The following is a 19,531-nucleotide window of genomic DNA, read 5'->3' as shown; positions in this document are numbered from 1 at the left end:
ATATATATATATATATATATACACACACACACACACACACACACACACACACGTGTATATATATGTGTGTGTGTGTGTATATATATATATATATATATATATATATATATATATACACGTATGCCAAGTCCAGTTTTTATCCCAATGATTTTTTTTTTTTTAATAGATACGAGGTCTTGCTATGTTGCTCAGGCTGGTCTTGAAGTGCTGGGTTCAAGCGATCCTCCGGCATTGCCCTCCAAACCAATGAACTCTGTGGTATTTCACACGGCTAACTTCCCTGTCAGTATTCACTTAATCCCTCTCTTCAGCTTCTTCAACCCTATAACCTTATCTGTTTAGCCATTCTTTCTCAACTTACTTCATAGGTTTCTATTCTTCTACTTGACCCTCAGATGTAGATGCTCTTCAAGGTTGCCCTTAGTTTTTTTTCTTCACTCCTGATATGGTTAAGCATTCCTAATCCAAAAGTTTAAAATCTGAAATGCTCCAAAATCTGAAACTTTCTGAGTGTTGACATGATGCCACAAGTGGAAAATTCCACACCTGACCTCAGGTGACATGTTGCAGTCAGAATGGAATCAAAACTTTGTTTCCTGCACAAAATTATTTAAAATATTGTATAAAACTGCATCCAGGTTGTAAGATGTATATGAAACACAAATGAATTTCAAGTTTAGACTTGGGCCCTATCTCCAGGGTATCTCATTATATGCATACCAACATTACAAAGTCAAAAAAAACTCCAAAACATTTCTGGTCCTAAGCATTTTGGATAAAGGATACTCAATCTGTACTATTTTCTCTTTCTTTTTTATAGACAGGGTCTTACACTGACACCCAAGCTGGAGTGCAGTGGCCCTATCATAGCTTGCTACAGCCTCAAACTCCTGGGCTCAAGTCATACTCCAGCCTCAGCCTCCCGAGTAGCTGAGACCACAGGTGGCTACCACTATACCTGACAAATTTTTTAAATTTTTGTAGAAACAGGGTCTCACAACGTTGCCCAGACTGGTTTTGAACTCCTGGCCTTAAGTGATCCTCTGCCTTGGCCTCCTAAAGTGTTAGGATTACAGGTGTGAGGCACCATGCCTGGCTTTCTGCAGTTTCTATATGGCATTATACTGATGAATGCAAATCCCCTAATTTATCCCAATGTCCCCTTGAGCTCCAGCCCAAATACCCAGGTACTTACTTGACCTTTCTTGATTCCCAGATATCTTAACACATCTGGAGTCATACTCTATTACCTTCCTCCTCAAATTCTGTTCTTCCTATACATTCCCTATCTTAAAGGCATCATCATCACCCAATAACCACACTATAATCTTTAACTCTTTACTCAATTGTCACTCAAATCTGACAACTGTGAAGTAAAAATTATCCCCAGAATCGATGTCCTTTTACATCACAATTCAATACTCTCACAAGTCTCTAGTCAAATCTTTACATGTCATCTTTTTAAAAACCATAGTGGATGTCCTACTCAAACCTCTTATGGTCCCTAAATGCCTATAGAATAAAGTTCACACTCATGAGCATGGAATTACAAACTCTTCCCAATATGGCCACAACCTTATCAGTTTCACTTTCCACTATTCTCCAAGTCGAGCAAAATCCACTTGCTAGTTCTCAAATCAGACTACTGATGCCCTTCCTCTCAGCCCCTCTTCTCCATCAGTAATGCAGCTACTCCCCCTTCCAAGTCCTACTCAAACTTCCCCTATGTGAAAAGTCTTCCCTAACCTCACTTTTCTCTGTGTATCATTCTCCTCTCCCTAGAAGGAATTTCTCCCTCCTCCTATAATCCCACACCACTCTTTGTTTGCTCTATTTTGGTTCTCTAGAAGTTGTAACATAGCTAGTTGAGCCCATACCTTTCTGCTCTACACGACAAGGCCCAAGATTTGTTACTCTAGCACCTAGTACATGCCCAGAATGTGGTATATCTTTAATCATCGTCAGGTGAATGAATGAGTGGCAAAACTCCAAAGTGAGAATACACTTAAGGAGGTTATTTCTTAATGGAGAGAATGCTTCACTCTCCTTTGAACATAAAACAAGAATCAGGTCCCCTAGTCCCCAACTCCCCATTTCTAGTCCACTGCGCAAACAGTTTTAAGCAATGTTTCATTGGGACATTTCCTCATTTCCCCTTGTTCTTTGTAGGTTTAGCTGCCAGCCTAACCACATTAGCATTCAGTAGCAGCAACAAAACGGACTCTTAAAGTTCTAAAAAGCAAAAACTTTACAATTACCAACAGTAAAATACATGCTCTTTTTAAAAAAAACTGTCTTAATATATATGCATACAAAGCTCATTCTTCATGAAGATTCAGAAAATGGCTTGGCATAGTTTATCCCAACAGGCACCACTTAAAGAGTTCTTAAGAAAATGTCCACTTAAGCCATCAGCCAAACTTTTCACATTTGTTACCACAGAAATCAGCATGCATGAATTAATCGAAATACAATGCATATTAAACAATGCAATTACTATAGTCTAAATCACCAAACTGATAACCCATACAAAAGTAGCTCTTACAACTTTTTTTGAGAATATTTCCCCTAAAAAATTCCAGTGATCATCCCAACCTACAAAACTAGATTATTTTACTAGTATCATCTTCTCTTTACCCCTCTTCTCCCCACCAACACTCCCTCCAACACACACACACTTCTCCTTAAGAGAAACGGCTTCCTCAAGAAATTATCTGATGGTTCAGTAGCAGTTGGAGTTTTACACAAACTATGTTGTGATTGGGCAAGGCAGACTACCAGATCTGGGATTCAGTAGACCATTCCTTACTGTCAGATTATCTTCTAAGTGACTGCTCTTAGAGAAACAACACAGATTTGCCTCAAGAGATTACAAATGTGGTAGGCCTACCTTAACAGCAACTAGTTTTTTTTAAGAAACACGGTCGCACTGTCGCCCAGGCAGGAACACAATGGCATGATTATGCTCACTGCAACCTCAAACTCCTAAGTTCAAGTGATCCTCCTGCCTCAGCCTCCTGAATAGCTCAAACTATAGGCATATGCCACCATACCCAGCTAGTTTTTCGTTTTTTTGTTTTTTTAAATATTCTGTAAAGACAGGATGTCACTACATTGCCCAGGCTGGTCTAGAATTCCTAGCCTCAAGCAATCTTCCTGCCTTGGCCTCCCAAAGTGCTGGGATTATAGGCATGAACCACCATAACCAGCCATTGTTTTCTAATATACTAGAACATCTCTGTAAAGTTTTATTTCTAGCCCTTCTTTGGGTCATAGAAAGTTTACTTGGTATCACATAAATGTTCACATTTTAAAACATTTTAGGCCTAAAGACCACAACATGATGAAGCCTTTTGGATGTTTTGCTAACTACACTGCATTAAGTTGGGCTGAAAATACATTAGCCCAATTCTGAAGTGCACTTTTGAAAAAATAAAAAATATATATATGTGTGTGTGTATATATATATATTCTAAGGTATAAGCAATCCACTTATTTTTCTTGAGCAGTCAAAAATTCCTTTCCCAAGTTTTGTCCATATTGCACTAAAATAACTTCAAACAAAGCATTGTTGTTGCTTGAGGATTAAAAGTTTCCAATAGCTCAATATGGTTTTAATCTCCTGGAAACACCTGAAATTCATTTGTTTCACCTCCTTTTACTATTTATCTTCCAGTCTGTTTACCTTAGTAGAAAACTGATGGATAAAAGTACTAACTGAAAACCCAAGAAAGTGGGTAATCCACCCTCTAGTTAATAAGGAAGGAAATATGATACACAAGGCACAAAAATTAACATGTATCTTGAGACTCAAAAAACATTGGACTTGGTCTAAATAAAATGTTTCTAAAATAACAAGTGGATTCCTTTTTCATTGCTGTTTTACTAAGCATTCATGGAAAATTATATTTGGGTAAGCTCAGGCTGAAAACACTAGCTTTAGCTATCAAGGAAAACATGAAAGAACATAAAGAAAATGTATTTTAGTATAGAACATTTCCTGAAATGTTTTTTACAAAATCAAAGATTTGCATTTTAAGATTGATTTTCCAAATACTCTATATATACATATTAATAAGCATCACACAGTCACACACAAACATCTAAATTCAGATATCCCATTTCCTAGATGATTACTGGCCCAGAAAGGGCGCATCTAAACTCTTGAGGTTAAAGTAGACATTTGTGAAATTCAACAGCCCAGGGAGTTTCCCCTCACCCTTCAATTTTTCACAGTGGCACTGTGTGAATGAATAAGCCTGCTTCAGCATGAAGCAACAGGCTTGTCTAAAGACATCTGACAGAAGCTGAATGTATACATTAACTTCCTGTTGAGGTAGGACTGTAGACTGTTTCTAAAGACTGACAGTTCATAGTTCCTCCAGAAACCAAAAAATCAGCATGCCTTTTCAAATACTCAGGGAAAAATTTTAATTTCAGTAATTACTGTTCATTGTTATTATTCTTCAACTTTACTGAATGCCTTATTCCATACAAGAAAAGGCATAAAAATTTAATCCCAGACCACAGGAGCTTAAATTTCCCTTAAAACAAGTCACTCATTCGTGATTATTTACATAAAATGCTTCTAAAGACAACCCAGAGATTTGGTTGAACCTACAGTGTGCAGGCAATGCAAATTCAGGTATTTAAATCATGGGAAGTTGGCCTTCGGTTCCCTAACAAAATTAGACAAGTGCATAATTATCGTTTAATAAAACAAAAAACCTACAATTTGGGGTCCTAACGACATACACAGGAATTCAGAAGGAAACCTGAAATCCTTTCTCCTTTAAACCTTCTATATCTGGACAAGGGCCCTCATTATCTTCTACTTCTATAGCTCCTTCTCTTAACACAGGAGCTAAATTTCCTTGAAACATGTTATGAAGCCACTGCCAGCACGGTGGCACTTGCCTATAGTCTCAGCTACTGGGGAGGCTGAGGTGGGTGCATTCCTTGAGCCCAGGAGTTCAAGGCCAGCTTAGGCAACATAGCAAGATCCCCATCTCTAACTTAAAAAAAAAAATTATATATATGTATGTACACACACACACACACACACACAAATACATATTTTTATAAGAAAATTATTGGGCCAGGCGCATTGGCTCATGCCTGTAATCCCAGCACTTTCGGAGGCCAAGCCCAGCAGATCACCTTAGGTCAGAAGTTCGAGACCAGCCTGGCCAACACGCCAAAACCCCGTCTCTACTAAAAATACAAAAATTAGCCGGGCATGGTGGCCCACGCCTGTAATCCCAGCTACTCGGGAGGCTGAGGCCGAAGAATCGCTTGAACCCAGGAGGCAGATGTTGCAGTGAGCCGAGATCGCACCACTGCACTCCAGCCTGGGTGACAGAGTGAGACTCCGTCTAAGAAAAGAAAAAGAAAAAGAGAACTATTTCCACAAAAATTGCCGACTTGGGGATAAGAACTTTTCTTTGTTACAGGAGACTATGACCACTGACTACTAAGCAAAAAGTCATTTTCCCTCCTATATGTCGAGTTTGAGGCTGTGTGAGGAAATTAAAGGACTTCAAATAAGGATGGGCCAAAAGATTAAGTAGAGTTTTTGTTTTTGTTTTTTTAGATGAAGTCTCGCTCTTGTCCCCCGGGCTGGAGTGCAATGGCGCGATCTCCATCTCGGCTCACTGCAACTTCTGCCTCCCAGGTTCAAGCGATTCTCTTGCCTCGGCAGCCCCCGCCCCCGCCCCTCCCAGCAGCTGGGATTACTGGCGCCTGCCACCACGCCCAGCTAATTTTTGTATTTTTAACAGAGATGGGCTTTCACCATGTTGGCCAGGCTGGTCTCGAACTCCTGACCTCAGGTGATCCACCCCGCCTCGGCCTCCCAAAGTGCTGGGATTACAGGTGTGAGCCACCGCACCCGGCCGTAAAGAGTTTTCTTAATCTGATTATTGTTTTTTTTGGTCATGGGCCCTGTTGAAAGCCACTAAGTCCTATCAAAAGAAAAAAAAACCCCTTGACACAAAAAAATTCTGCCCACAATTTAGGATCCAAGTTAAGAATAAATATTCTACATTGCATGTGATAATTATGTCTGCTTTCGGACTCATAAAATAAGGAAATTACACTCAGATGCACGGAGAGAACTAGTCATATTTTCACTGTCTTACGGGGTAACCTGTCAAGAACTGTCAAATACAATTTTAGGGAGTCGGGATACTAATGAATCAAACACACACACACACACAAACAGCATCTCCAAGACTCCAGCACCCCCCTTTCCCAATTACTTACTGGTCAAGCCCAAAGGAAAAATAATTTTTTAAAAGGCTAGGCTGAGATGGAATGGGAAAAAGGATCACTGTGAGCACAGATGATGTCCCGGGACAAAAGCTCTGCCCAACACTGCCCAAGCTGACAGGCTCACTCACACTACCTTTCTCCTTATGCGTCTCTCAATACGCAGTCTCTGAACACTTAAAAAAATGTGAATTTTGCTCTGACCACATAAAGAAATCAGCACGATTGACACCAGCTCTAAAATAAGCAATTAATATATTCTAATCTAATGCTTAAGAAGAATGGAGAGCAGGCAACAGCTCCTCCAACTGGTTGGAGCAGATATCACTGGAAGCCCCCCAAGTATTAAGATTTTTAAACAACTTCAAGTTCTGGTGGGCACAGCCAAATACACTGCAGAAACTTTGGGACCAGCAGCCACGACACAACAGGTGAGAGAGGCAGCAGACATCATTGCACGATGGAGTGCACAACATTCAATGACAAACCCGAAAAGGTCTGGGGATATGGGAAAATACCATGCACACGGCCATCTCAGAGCCCCTGTCTTTCCAGTGGCAAAAGGTTCTGTTCCTTCGGAGGGGCGTGCCACTCCCCCTCTCCCTCACCCAGGGGACCACCACCCCAGGCACAGGAAGAACCGCGGCCCCTCCGCGGGCACATCTCAGCTGGGGAAGAAAACACAATGTCGCTCCTTATTTCTGCGTACAAAAGGACTTTGCGCCCTCCTCCTCGAACTGCCGCCCCGGCCACCTCCTAACTTGCAAGAAGGTGGGCAACGCGCCATATTCCAGCGTCCCCCAGTCTACCTGGGTAACAAGCCCACGCCACCCCGGCAGGAGGGAAGCTTCGGAGGTCGCCCAAAGAGCCAGCCTCCTCTCCCGCAGGAGACAGCGGCTCCCGCGCCCCAGCCCGGCCCCACCGCGCCGCCCGCCCGCCCGCCCGCGTACGAGAGCCGGGAAGGGCCGAGGGGGCGAGCCGAGAGCCGCGGCTCCGGTCCCGCGCAGCCCGCCCACCTCCCGCTCCCGGGCCCGGCGCACTCTCCCGCGCCTCCCGCTCCCGAGCTGCGGGAAGGCCGGGCCCCGGGTTCCACGGCGGGGAGAAGGCCGCGGCCCCGAGAGCCCCAGGCGGCGGAGGAGGCCGGAACCCTGGGGCTCTCGGGAGGGCAGCGCCTCCCTCCCGAGCCCGCCAGGACGCCTGGGGCCTAGTGCGGCCTGCGCATCCTCGGGGTGGCGGTTTGGCTGGGCCGGGCCGGGGCCCCCCGCCCGAGGCGGGCCGAATCCGGCGGGGGCCCAGGCCCAGAGCCGGGGGCGGCAGGGTGCCGGCTGCGGGGCGGGCCGGCCGGCCGGCGGGCGGGCGGCGTGTTGCGGCTGCGCCGGGGCTGAAATAGCTGGAGATTGCGCGGTAGGGCACTCACCTCAGAGCGGCTGCGCTACCGTGGGCCTGCGCCGTGGAGACTGCGACCGCGCCGGCTCCTCGCAGCCTCCTGCCACCAGCGGCAATGGCGAGCGCTGCCGCTTCTGCCGCCGCCGCCGCCGCCGAGGAGGGGGAGGGGAGGGAGAGGGCACGCACGCGACGCACGGCCCGGCTTCCCCGCCCGGCCGCCGCCATGATGAGGAGGTCGGCGCGGCTGTGCTGCGGGCAGGCAGCGGAGAGGGCTCGCGGCGAGGGCTCCAGCTTACCCCGCCGCCGCGTCGCGTGCACGGAGCGCTTCAGAGGTTTGGAGGGGGCCGGAACCTCAAAAGCAACTGGATGAGCACAACGCGGACGCCCCGGAGAAGCGGCGCAAGCGGGCCCAAAATGGTTGCTGATCAGACGAGTGGCATCTCTCGCCCCCCTACCGCGGGAATTGGGACCTCCAGACTGTGCCTGGGGGATCGGCAAGTGGTTCCCCTCTGGTTTTTTCGGCGCTGCCTTCCCGGTGGTATCCTCACTCTCTCTCTTTGAAATGACCTCTGCTTTCCTATCTCTAACTCTTCCCAGATATTTGAAAGCAAGTTTTTGTACAAAGCAACATATGAATGTATTCAGCCATTCGATCGTTCGGCGAACATTTCTAGGTGTCTCGTGCTGTGCCAGATATTGTTCTGAGTGCGCTGAAGATGCACCTGTTAGCAAGACAAAGTCCTGGCTCCCACGGAGCTTATTCGAAGCAATAGGGGCCCCCAAGCAGGTGCCTGAGAAGTAGGGAGGGGTGGACAGTGGGAAAACAACCTAACGGTGGAGACACACGAGGGGTCTTTTTTTACTTTTAGAAACGGGGGTGGGTGGTCACCCTATGTTGCCTAGGCTGGTCTCGAACTCCTGGGCCCAAGCGATCCTCCCGACTCAGCCTCCCAAAGTGCTGGTATTACAGGACACCATGCCCGGCAGAGGGGTCGTTTTTGTTGTTTTTTTAGTGTCGTCAGGAGACTCCCTCCATCAGAATTACTCAGGCTGATTGTTTTGAGTCCTGGGACCCAGTTGGTATCCAGAATCTTGGCTTGTTTGCCTAGGAACCTGCATTTTCACATCCCCATCTCCACACCCCTGGTGATTCTTATGCATATAATAATGTGAAAAGCATTGCATTGAAGAATTGCTAAAGGGTGTCAGAAAACGGATTAACAAAATCAGGAAGCTTTAATTTTCAAGATTCTATTAACCTCAAAATTCAACATATCCAAAAATTGAATGTCTTTTTCTCCAGTGTTTTCTAGGAGAGTGCCAACACTAGCCACCCAAGTGCTCAAGCCAGAAACCTGGAAATGATCCATTACTCTTTCCTCTGTCTCTGGAGTCCCCATGTTAAATTAGATGTGTTTGTTTGTGAGACAGATTCTCACTCTATTACCTAGGCTGGAGGGCAGTGGTGCAATCATTGTTCACTGCAGCCTCGACCTCTCTGGGCTCAAGGATCCTCCCACCTCAGCCTCCCCAGTAGCTGGGACTACAGGTCCCCACCACCACGCCCGGCTAATTTTTGTATTTTTAGTAGAGATGAGGTTTCATCTTGTTGGCCCGGGCTGGTCTCGAACTCCTAGGCTCAAGTGATCTGCCTGCCTTAACCTCCCAAAGTGCTGGGATTACAGCCGTGAGCCACTGCACCCAGCCCCAATTAGATTTTTAAAACTGTTGTTCCCTGTCAGTTCTTACTCTGGTTCAGGCTACTGTCATCTCTCCTAGAGACACTGCGGTAGACTCCTCTTGGTCTCCCTGCCACCGAAATTGCCCTCTCCAAATCCACTACAGCTTGAATGGTCTTTCAAGAAAGAAAATCATGTTTTTTCCCTGTTTAAGACTCTTAAAAAGATCTGATTAACACGTAGGATAAAGTCTAAAATTCTTTGAGGTGGCTACAGGGCCATTGGTGATCTCATCCCTGTTGCCATCTCTGACCTCATCTGCCACAGATATTTCTCAGGCTACACTCAAAACTGGGAAGCTCTCAGGTCATTTAAGCCTGGAAATTGTGCCACCTCACAACTGTTGCAAGGGCTGTTCCCTTTGCCCATAACTTCATTTCTCTCTACACCATCTATGCACTTACTTGAATCCTCACCTGAATAATTCTTACCATTCTTTCAGATCCCAACATTAATACCATCGCCTCCAGGCAGCATTTTTTCATCTCCCAAGATTGGGTGCATTAGACCCTTTGTCATCACACCCAGTACTCCCCACGTTTATTGAGCGCTCACGATGCGTCAGGCCCTAGTGGAAGCCTTTATGCACATTATCTTCTTTCTCATTTAATTATCAAGTAGAGCCCACAAGGTAGGTACTACCTTTTTTTTAACTTTTGAGACAGGGTCTCACTGTATCTCCCAGACTGGAATACAGTGGCGCAAACACAGCTCACTGCAGTCTCATCCTGGGCTCAAGCAATCCTCCCATCTCAGCCTCCTGAGTAGCTGGGACCACAGGCAGATGCCTGTTGCCCAGGCTGGTCTCCAACTCCTGGGCTCAAGCCGTTCTACCTTAGCCTCCTAAAGTGCAGGGATTACAGGTGTGCAACTGTGCCCGGCCTGGGTAGTTACTAATATTATCCCATTTTACAGATGAAGAAACAAGGACATATAGGGGTTACTTGCCCAAACCCAGACAATAAGCTAGATCTGAAAGTCATCAGCCTGACCTCAGAGTTGTACTTTTAACCATTATCAGGGTCTCAGGCCAGTACCCACTGATGAAACACATAAGTAACTTAGTGGGTCATTACCAACATTTCATTAAAGAAATAGAAAATGGCAGAGAACATCAAACTTAGTAAGGCTCTTGTTTCGTGAAACTTGTCAGATTCTCTAATATGATAAATACTAAATCTTACAAACATTGAAAATACAAAATTAAACAAAATATTACCAAGGTTAACACAAAAGTATGAATACTGCAGATCTGATTTATTTTACTATCCTCATCTTTAATGCAGAACCTTCTTAGGATTAAATGACATTTACCATTCTGAGCAAACTGAGGTTACTGCCCCAAACGGACTGGGCTTACCTTTGCAGGAGAACAGGGGAGGCTGTGTTTTGGCTGGAGATTTTTGGCTAAGAGTCAAGACACAGAGATTCTTCTGCTACCACTGTGAACACATCAAGTCCCTTTCACATAGATGCTGTTTCCACAAGGGTCTCCCCACACCCTTCCCTACAGATTAGATTCCCGTGATGCCTTATTTAATTCTTGTTGGATCTGTTGATTTGGTTATGAAGTAGGTGAAATTCTGGTAACCTCACCCAGGTTCCTTCCCCTCTTGATTAGATCCAGCCAGTCTGTTCGCTGGATGATTAAATTTGGCATTCATTTTTCTGTGCTTTCCCTATCTGCTACTATCCTAAAGTCATTCTAATGACCAAAAAAGGTGCCTTGAGCCAGACTGTAGAGGGTTCTAATGGCCTCCTTAGAAATTGTGTTTTTTTGTTTTTTTTTTGAGATGAGGTTTCGCTCTTGTTGCCCAGGTTGGAGTGCAATGGTGCGATCTTGGCTCACTGCAACCTCCGCCTCCCGGGTTCAAGCGATTCTCCTGCCTCAGCCTCTCAAATAGCTGGGACTACAGGCATGCGCCACCACGCCCGGCTAATTTTGTGTTTTTAGTAGAGACGGGGTTTCACCATGTTGCCCAGGCTGGTCTCGAACCCCTGACCTCAGGTGACCCACCCACCTCGGCCTCCCAAAGTGCTGGGATTACAGGCCTGAGCCACCATGCCTGCCAAGGAACTGGTTCTTAGTAGGCAATAGACAGTTGACAATTTTGAGCTAAGCACTAAGGTCATAGGAGTGTAGATTCACCAGGGAGTGAGTTGGGCTTCTGGTCTCTAGAGGGCGCTCAAGGCTTCTCCCTCCCCACCCTCTTCCTTCCCCCAAGGTGGAGGTAGGATGGTGAAGAAATTTCATCTCCCCACCACCAAACACACACAAAGGAAGAAAATCTTACTAAAATTGGAGAATATGGAATAACATTTTCTTGGGATGGAGCCCTTAAAAGATAACACGTTCAACAGAAAGTGCTGCGTCTTTCCCGTTCTTCAACATACTCTGAGTGGTAACAAGGGCTGCCCTTGCCTTTCTCAGAGGCAGCCCAGCCAGCTTGTTCTCTTTCCCTCTCCCACAAGGTAGCCAGGCCCTAAGGCTATGGCCCACAGAAAAAGTCTTAGCAAGGCCCCGGGCTTGGGGCAAAGAGGCTGTGGATTTGTCTTTCTCTCTACTTTTTCTGGTTAGTGTGCCTCTATCCCACTCGGAAGAAAAGTTCCAAGACTCAAATTTGGGCATTGATGTGGGGAGGATAGACAGAGATGACCAGAATCCAGCCTATCTTTCCTGACTTCTGCATTGTGGTTCATACCCAGCTAATAATAAAGTGTTCCTTTCCCTGGTGTGTCATTGCACATGTACTCCCCACACTCCTGATGAGTAGAGATGGCTGGCCAAGACAGGATTCAGACATTCCCACATCCCCAACCAAACATCCTCTCCATACCATCTTATTAATCAGTCTTTGAACAATTTCCTAAACTCCCTAACAGGTTGGAGATGGCTGGAAGAAATGAAAAGAAGAACGCCAACAAAGGCGATAAAGAAAAATTCAACACTGCTTGATAACTGATGAGATAGTGAAGGAGTAGGAGGGCAAAAGTCAGAAGTAATTCCAGGTGTTCAAGAACTAAATGCTGAAGAGATGTTAGTGTCGTTGACGGTCTTCTAATGGGAAGTGAATTTCAATAGAAAGAGGATGTGTTTGGTTTCAGACAGACCGAGTGACTGGTGACAACAGGAAAGCCACGTGTTTGGAGCAGATTACTCGGTACAGTCAGCAGCTGGAATGGAAGTGAAGAAGGCCCAGCAGAGCATCAGACCTGAGTGCAAACTATGGTGGTGTTGGTGGAATAGAGGGAAGGGAGAGATTTGAGAGACATTGGGAAGAAAGGTTTTGGTTTTTGAGACAGAGTCTTGCCCTGTCATCCAGGCTGGAGTGCAGTGGCATAATCTTGGCTTACAGCAAACTCCACCTCCCGGGTTCAAGCAATTATCATGCCTCAGCCCCCTAAGTAGCTGGAATTACAGGCAAGTGCCACCACATTCAGCTAATTTTTGTATTTTTAGTAGAGACAGGGTTTCACCATCTTAGCCAGGCTGGTCTCAAACTCCTGACCTCAGGTGATCCACCTGCCTCGGCCTCCCAAAGTGCCGGGATTACAGGTGTGAGTCACCATGCCCAGCCACCAGAAGTTTAATCAAGGCTCAGAGACTGATTCCAGTTTGAGTTTTCTAATAACTGTCTAATACTTAGCTAATAGCTTTGGACAGTTGCTCTTTTTAAAATGAGATCATTCAATCATTGCATTCATCTTTGGGTATGACTCACTAGTCAACAGAGTCCCCCTTCTGTAGAAACTGCCTCATTCACAGAGATGACCTCCACCAGTCATGCCTATATTTGAGACCCTGTCTCTCTTTATCCCCCATTGCTGCGTGATTCAAGGGTGGTCACCTGACCCAGGCAGTGCCAAGTTTATTCTCTGTCTTGGGAATTTAGAATGTTTGTTTGGCTAAGAGACACAGAAACTGGAAGCTGGAGCTGATGATGGAGCTGATCACGCTAATGATGGAGCTATAGAGATAAGATGCATGAACACCACCGAGGTCCCCAAGATTGCCATATTCCTGCAGTGCCTTCTGGCCACAGATAGTTGGTCCAGAAGCAGGTTCCTGACTCAACCTGGGCCAATTAGAGCCTTTCACGGAGATTTTGAAATCAAAGTTGAGATCTCTCTTTCTCTCTATGCCCTTTGGTGTATGTGTACTTGAGCTACAAGTTACCCAACTTTGGAAGCTGTAGACAGAGGCAATTTTCCACTAAATGAAGTGAGAAACAGAAAGTCCATCATTAGTGAGAGAGGAGCAAGGCAGATGCACACAGAGAAGCAGATAGAGGGGAAGCGGGCGGGAGTGGGGCGGGAGTTCCTGGAGTCCCCACAGTGCTCTAGTTTCTGATTCTCTTCCTAAGACCCACAGGATTCCTGCCTTTGGGTTTCTTAAGTTCCTGAATAGCTCCTGATTGCCTTTGTCTTTTTTACGAAAGTCCTTTGAGCATGGTTTCAGGTGAGCAGACAGTCCTAACCTAAAGAGCTGTAACAAATACACGTGGGCTGTGTGTGAGATTCGGGGAGAGGCACCAGGGATCCAGTGTGGGTCAGGCGTGGTGCCGCCCTCAAGGAACTTAGTGGGGAGAAAATGAAGTCTGTACTTCAATAACTACAGTGCAGGCTAGGAAGAGAACACCCTTAGAGATGTGCAAATCAAGCTCTTTGGGAGTTTAGAGGAGGCCTAGGACTGCTAAGGAAAGGCTGGGACTAGGAAGAGGTAAGCAAGTCACTGAGGAGGCAAAATTTAAGAAGCCACCCACTCTCAGGGTGTGTGAATGCAGCGTTGGCACTTGCATGACCCTGAGAATGAGCAACCCCTTAAATGTATCTTAGGCACCTTGCCAGACTCACTTTTAGCTTGCTGGACTAATTGTGGGGATCAGTAGGCCTTCAGAGGAAAGTTAGTGTCTGAGCTGAACTGAAGGATGGGGTGGTTTTGGACTTGGTGGCAATGTCATCTACCTCAAGGTAAAGTAACAATATGGAAAACGCTCCCGTGAAAATTCACAAGGTCTGTTCTAGGATCATCAGGCTCTTCGGTGTGACTTAAGAGTTCAGAGCATGAAGGAGGAGGGGGCAGTAAGAAAAATGGAGAGAACGTAGCATCAGATTCTGCAGGCAAGGAGAAAATTGCTAAGCTGGGAAATAACATAATCAGAGCGGTACTTAAGATGAATCTAACGGAATAGCATGAAATAAAGGAAAGGCTAAGGAGAGGACAAACAGGAGGCTATTGTGGCAATCCAGGCGTGAAAGTCTAAACTAATCAGCACTGGGAATAGAGATGCCATAGGAAAAATAATACATCATTAATATAACTTGGCAATTGAGTAGATGTTGGAGACAAGAGAGAAATCAGAAACACTGCTAAACACTATGCAGCTATAACAAAGAATGAGAGAGCATTCAGTAAGATCACATCCAAGATATGTACATGAAAAACACAAGGGATAGAACTGTGTATATGGCAAGCTATCACTTGCATTTTTTATTTTTTAAATGGTATTTATTTATTTCTTGTTTTTTCCTTTTTTTAAGACTAAAAAATCAATTATAAAATCCTCAACCACTTGACTTTTTTTTTAAGTTCCTGGGTACATGTGCAGGACGTACAGGTTTATTATATAGGTAAACGTGTGCTATGGTGGTTTGCTGCACCTATCAACCCATCACCTAGGTTTAAGCCCCGCATGCATTAGCTCTTTTCCCTAGTGCTCTTCCCCCACCATCCTCCCCTGACAGGCCCCGGTAAGTGTTGTTCCCCTCCCTGTGTTCTCATTGTTCAGCTCCCACTTATAAGTGAGAACATGTAATGTTTGGTTTTCTATTCCTGCATTAGTTTGCTAAGGATAATGGCTTCCAGCTCCATTTATGTCCCTGTAAAGGACATGATCTTGTTTTTTTATGGCTGCGTAGTATTCCATGGTGTATATGTACCACATTTTCTTTATTCAGTCTATCATTGATGGGCATTTGGGTTGATTCCATGTCTTTGCTATTGTGAATAGTGCTGCAATGAACATACGTGTACATGTATCTTTATAACAGAGTGATTTATATTCCTTTGGGTATACACCCTGTAATGGGATTGCTGGGTCAAATGGTATTTCCAGTTCTAAATCTTTGAGGAATCGCCACACTGTCTTCCACAATGGTTGAACTAATTTACATTCCCACGAACAGTGTAAAAGCATTCCTATTTCTCTGCAATCTCACCAGCATCTGTCATTTCTTGACTTTTTAATAATCGCCATTCTGACTGGTGTAAGATGGTATCTCATTGTGGTTTTGATTTGCATTTCTCTTTTTTTTTTTTTTTTTTTTTGAGACAGTTTCAAAAACTTGTTGCCAAGGCTGGAGTGCAATGGTGTGATCTTGGCTCACTACAACCTCTGCCTCCTGGGTTCAAGTGATTCTTCTGCCTCAGCCTCCCAAGTAGCTAGGATTACAGGTGTATGCCACCACGCCCAGCTAATTTTTGTATTTTTACTAGAGACGGGGTTTCACTATGTTGGCCAGGCTGATCTTGAACTCCTGACCTCAAGAGATCTGCCCACCTCCGCCTCCCAAAGTGCAGGGATTACAGGCGTAAGCTTCCACGCCCAGCTGATGGTAGTTTCTTTTGCTATGCATAAGCTCTTTAGTTTAATTAGATCCCATTTGTTGAATTTTGCTTTTGTTGCGATTGTTTTTGGCAATTTTATCATAAAATCTTTGCCCATTCCTATGTCCTGAATGGTATTGTCTAGATTTTCTTCTAGGGTTTTTGTAGTTTGGGGTTTTACATTTAAGGCTTTAATCCATCTTGAGTTAATTTTTGTATAAAGGTGTAAGGAAAGGATCGAGTTTCAGTTTTCTGCATATGGCTAGCCAGTTCTCCCATCACCATTTATTAAACAGGAAATCCTTTCCCCATTGCTTGTTTTGGTTTGTCAAAGATCAGATGGTTGTAGATGTGCGATTTTATATGTGCTGCCAAAGTGAGCACTATTTATTTATTTTTTTAAACAGAGTCTCACTGTGTTGCCCAGGCTGGAGTGCAGTGGCATGAACATAGCTCACGTAGCCTTATTTGCATTTGTAAAAGGGAAATATGTTTTGTTTTGTTTTTTGAGACAGAGACTCACTCAGTCGCCCAGGCTGGAGTGCAGTGGCACCATCATGGCTCACCACAGTCTCAACCTCCCCAGGCTCAGGTGATTCTTCCACCTCAGCCTCTGGAGTAGCTAGGATTACAGGTGTGCGCCACTACACCCAGATAATTTTTTTTTTCTTGAGATGGTGTCTCGCTCTGTCACCCAGGGCTGGAGTGCAATGGTGTGATCTCGGCTCACTGCAACCTCCGCCTCCCAGGTTCAAGTGATTCTCCTACCTCAGCCTCCCAAGTAACTGGGACTACAGGCACCTGCCACCACACCCAGCTACTTTCTGTATTTATAGTAGAGATGGGGTTTCGCCATGTTGGCCAGACTGATCTTGAACTCCTGACCTCAGGTGATCCACCCGCCTCAGCCCCCCAAAGTGCTGGGGTTACAGGCACAAGCCACCGTGCCTGGCCCTTTTTTTTTTTTTTTTGTATTTTTTTAGTAGAGACGGTGTTTCACTGTGTTGTCCATGTTAGTCTTAAACTCTTGGGCTCAAGAGATCTGCCCAACTTGGCTTCCCAAAGTGCCATAAAGGCATGAGCCACTGCACCTGGCCATAAAAAGGAAATATGTAAACAAACATCTTTGCTTACATATGTTTATATATCCCTAGAGAAATACGTACAAAATTGATGACATTAAGTGGCCTGTTTAAGAGAAGTGGGGTGGCTGGGGGTCAGTAGTGAAAGAGAGTCTTTTTAGTGTTTATAATTTGAATATTTTAAATCTTGAACCTTTTGGATGAATTAGCTAATGAAGAAAATTAGTTTAAATTGCTTTTAAAAATAAATAAGTATGAGCCGGGTGCGGGGGCTCATGCCTGTAATCCCAGCACTTTGGGAGGCTGAGGCGGGCGGATCATCTGAGGTCAGGAGTTCGAGACCAGCATGGCCAACATGGTGAAACCCCGTCTCTACTAAAAATACAAAAATCAGCCAGGTCTGGTGGCAGGCGTCTGTAATCCCAGCTACTCAGGAGGTTGAGGCAGGAGAATCGCCTGAACCTGGGAGGTGGAGGTTGCAGTGAACTGAGATCACGCCATTGCACTCCAGCCTGGGTGACAAGGGCGAGACTTCATCTCAAGAATAAATAAATAGGCCAGGCACGGTGGCTTACGCCTGTGATCCCAGCACTTTGGGAGGCCGAGGCGGGCGGTTCACAAGGTCAGGAGATCGAGACCATCCTGGCTAACATGGTGAAACCCCGTCCTACGAAAAATAGAAAAAAATTAGCCAGGTGTGGTGGCGGGCGCCTCCCAGCTACTGGGGAGGCTGAGGCAGGAGAATGGCGTGAACCCAGGAGGCAGAGCTTGCAGTGAGCCAAGATCACTCCACTGCACTCCAGCCTGGACGACAGAGCGAGACTCCGTCTCAAACAAACAATAAAAATAAATAAATAAATAAATAAAATAATTAATAAATAAATAAATAAATATGTAATCCCAGCACATTGGGAGGTCAAGGAGGGTGGATCATCTGAGGTCAGGAGTTCGAGACCAGCCTGGCCCAGATGGTGAAACCCCGTCTGTACTAAAAACATGAAATTAGCTGGCTGTGGTGCTGCATGCCTGTAATCCCAGCTACCAGGAGGCTGAGGCGGGAGAATTGCTTGAACCCGGGAGGTGGAGGTTGGAGGTGGAGGTGGCAATGAGCTGAGATCACGCCATTGCACTCCATCCTGGGTGATAGAGCCAGACTCCATCTCGAAAAAAAAAAAAAAAAGACATAAATAAATAAATAACCCCAAAGCCCAAATACGATACTGAAGTATGGAGCTGAGTGACAGTAGCTCCATTAACAAAAATAAAGAACTCAGGAAGGGAAGTGCACTTGAGAAAAATAATGATGTGTTTGGCTTGGGATATACAGAGTCTGAGATGCCAGTTGTACATACATAAAAGAGAAGAAGCCCATAAGCAACGGAGGAGGGCAAGCAATCCAATAGGAAGTTTGAAACAGCTTTGTCGGAATAGTTACTGTGGAGTGGTGCGAGCAAAAGCCAGAATTCAAGAGGCAGCAGGATGAAGGGAAAGTGGGAATGTATTGGTAACTAGAGTAGTGTCCTTTAAGAGTGGTGGATGGAAAGGGAGTGATGGAGAGGTTGTGATAGCTAGCGAAAGCTTGGGATCAAGGCAGCATGTATGTATTGGGCATGAGGGAGATTGAACCTAGTTAGAGGCTTCTGGAAAGGAATCAGTAGAAAAAGAGGTTGAAGTGATGTTTTTTGTTTTGTTTTTTAAAAAAAGAGAATTATGAATGCAGGGGGTTAGAAAACAAAAAACAAGGGGAAGAAATTGATGGAGGAAGCGTTCTAAGGTGAGAAAGCACAAAAATGGCGGGGGACTGAAAGGATGTGGGGCACCTCCACGTTTGAGAGACTGGAGGGGAAGAAGGAAGGACAGGAGAGGGTGTGGACTTGAGTGTTTGCAGGGGCCCTGGGAGGGAGAGAGATGTCAGGCTGGTTGGTCCCTGCTTTTCTATGAGGCAAGAAACAAAGTCATCTGCTGGAAGGGCCCCCCACCGCCAGTCAACAGGGAGCGGGCAGCAATGGCGAAGGTGTGGAACAGGCCTTGTGGAGGGAGAAGGTGCCAAACAAGGGCAGGCAAGGGAGCTGACCGCCAGCGTTGAGGACCCAGCTGAAACTAGGACCCACTCAGATATGTTGACACCAGTTGACATGGCTCATGCTTTCTGGAAACTTCAACAGCAGACCACAGACATTCAGGTGGCTAACGCATACTTTTGTTTGCTTGTTTTGAGCTTTCTGTTCTGTTAAGTGTCAACTTAGGGTTTTCTTGCTGGTTGGTTGGTTGGTTGGTTTTTCTAATTATGGTAAAATATATTGTATTAGTTTTCTAGGGCTGCCTTAAAATCCCACAAACTGGGTGGCTTACACAACAGAAATGTATTCTCTCACAGTTCAGGAGGCTGGAAGTCTGACATCAGGTGTCAACAGGGTTGGTTTCTCCTAAGGCCCCTCTCCTTGGCT

The 19,531-nt window shown here is 45.4% G+C and overlaps 1 protein-coding gene across 3 annotated transcripts in view, besides 5 other annotated features; it reads right to left on the bottom strand.

The window, feature by feature from the left end:
- Positions 1-7,792, bottom strand: part of NRF1 (nuclear respiratory factor 1) — a 145,357-nt gene extending 137,565 nt beyond the window's left edge. For all 3 annotated transcript variants that reach the window (NM_001293163.2, NM_001293164.2, NM_005011.5), the window contains exon 1: positions 7,688-7,792. The gene's annotated coding sequence lies outside the window, so the exon portion shown is untranslated. The remainder of the gene's footprint in view (positions 1-7,687) is intronic.
- Positions 6,505-6,644: an enhancer, noted in NCBI's record as "active region_26632". NCBI's record gives its function as "activates an Ori minimal core promoter by ATAC-STARR-seq in GM12878 lymphoblastoid cells {active_cell/tissue: GM12878}" and the evidence as "EXISTENCE:reporter gene assay evidence [ECO:0000049][PMID:35858748]".
- Positions 6,945-7,934: a silencer, noted in NCBI's record as "silent region_18632". NCBI's record gives its function as "represses an Ori minimal core promoter by ATAC-STARR-seq in GM12878 lymphoblastoid cells {active_cell/tissue: GM12878}" and the evidence as "EXISTENCE:reporter gene assay evidence [ECO:0000049][PMID:35858748]".
- Positions 8,325-8,374: an enhancer, noted in NCBI's record as "active region_26631". NCBI's record gives its function as "activates an Ori minimal core promoter by ATAC-STARR-seq in GM12878 lymphoblastoid cells {active_cell/tissue: GM12878}" and the evidence as "EXISTENCE:reporter gene assay evidence [ECO:0000049][PMID:35858748]".
- Positions 12,609-12,698: an enhancer, noted in NCBI's record as "active region_26630". NCBI's record gives its function as "activates an Ori minimal core promoter by ATAC-STARR-seq in GM12878 lymphoblastoid cells {active_cell/tissue: GM12878}" and the evidence as "EXISTENCE:reporter gene assay evidence [ECO:0000049][PMID:35858748]".
- Positions 12,709-12,758: an enhancer, noted in NCBI's record as "active region_26629". NCBI's record gives its function as "activates an Ori minimal core promoter by ATAC-STARR-seq in GM12878 lymphoblastoid cells {active_cell/tissue: GM12878}" and the evidence as "EXISTENCE:reporter gene assay evidence [ECO:0000049][PMID:35858748]".

Source organism: Homo sapiens, chromosome 7, assembly GCF_000001405.40.
Source record: "Homo sapiens chromosome 7, GRCh38.p14 Primary Assembly".
Lineage (NCBI taxonomy): Eukaryota > Metazoa > Chordata > Mammalia > Primates > Hominidae > Homo > Homo sapiens.
Note: the sequence above shows the minus strand (reverse complement) of the source record. Positions and strands in the feature narration are given on the sequence as shown.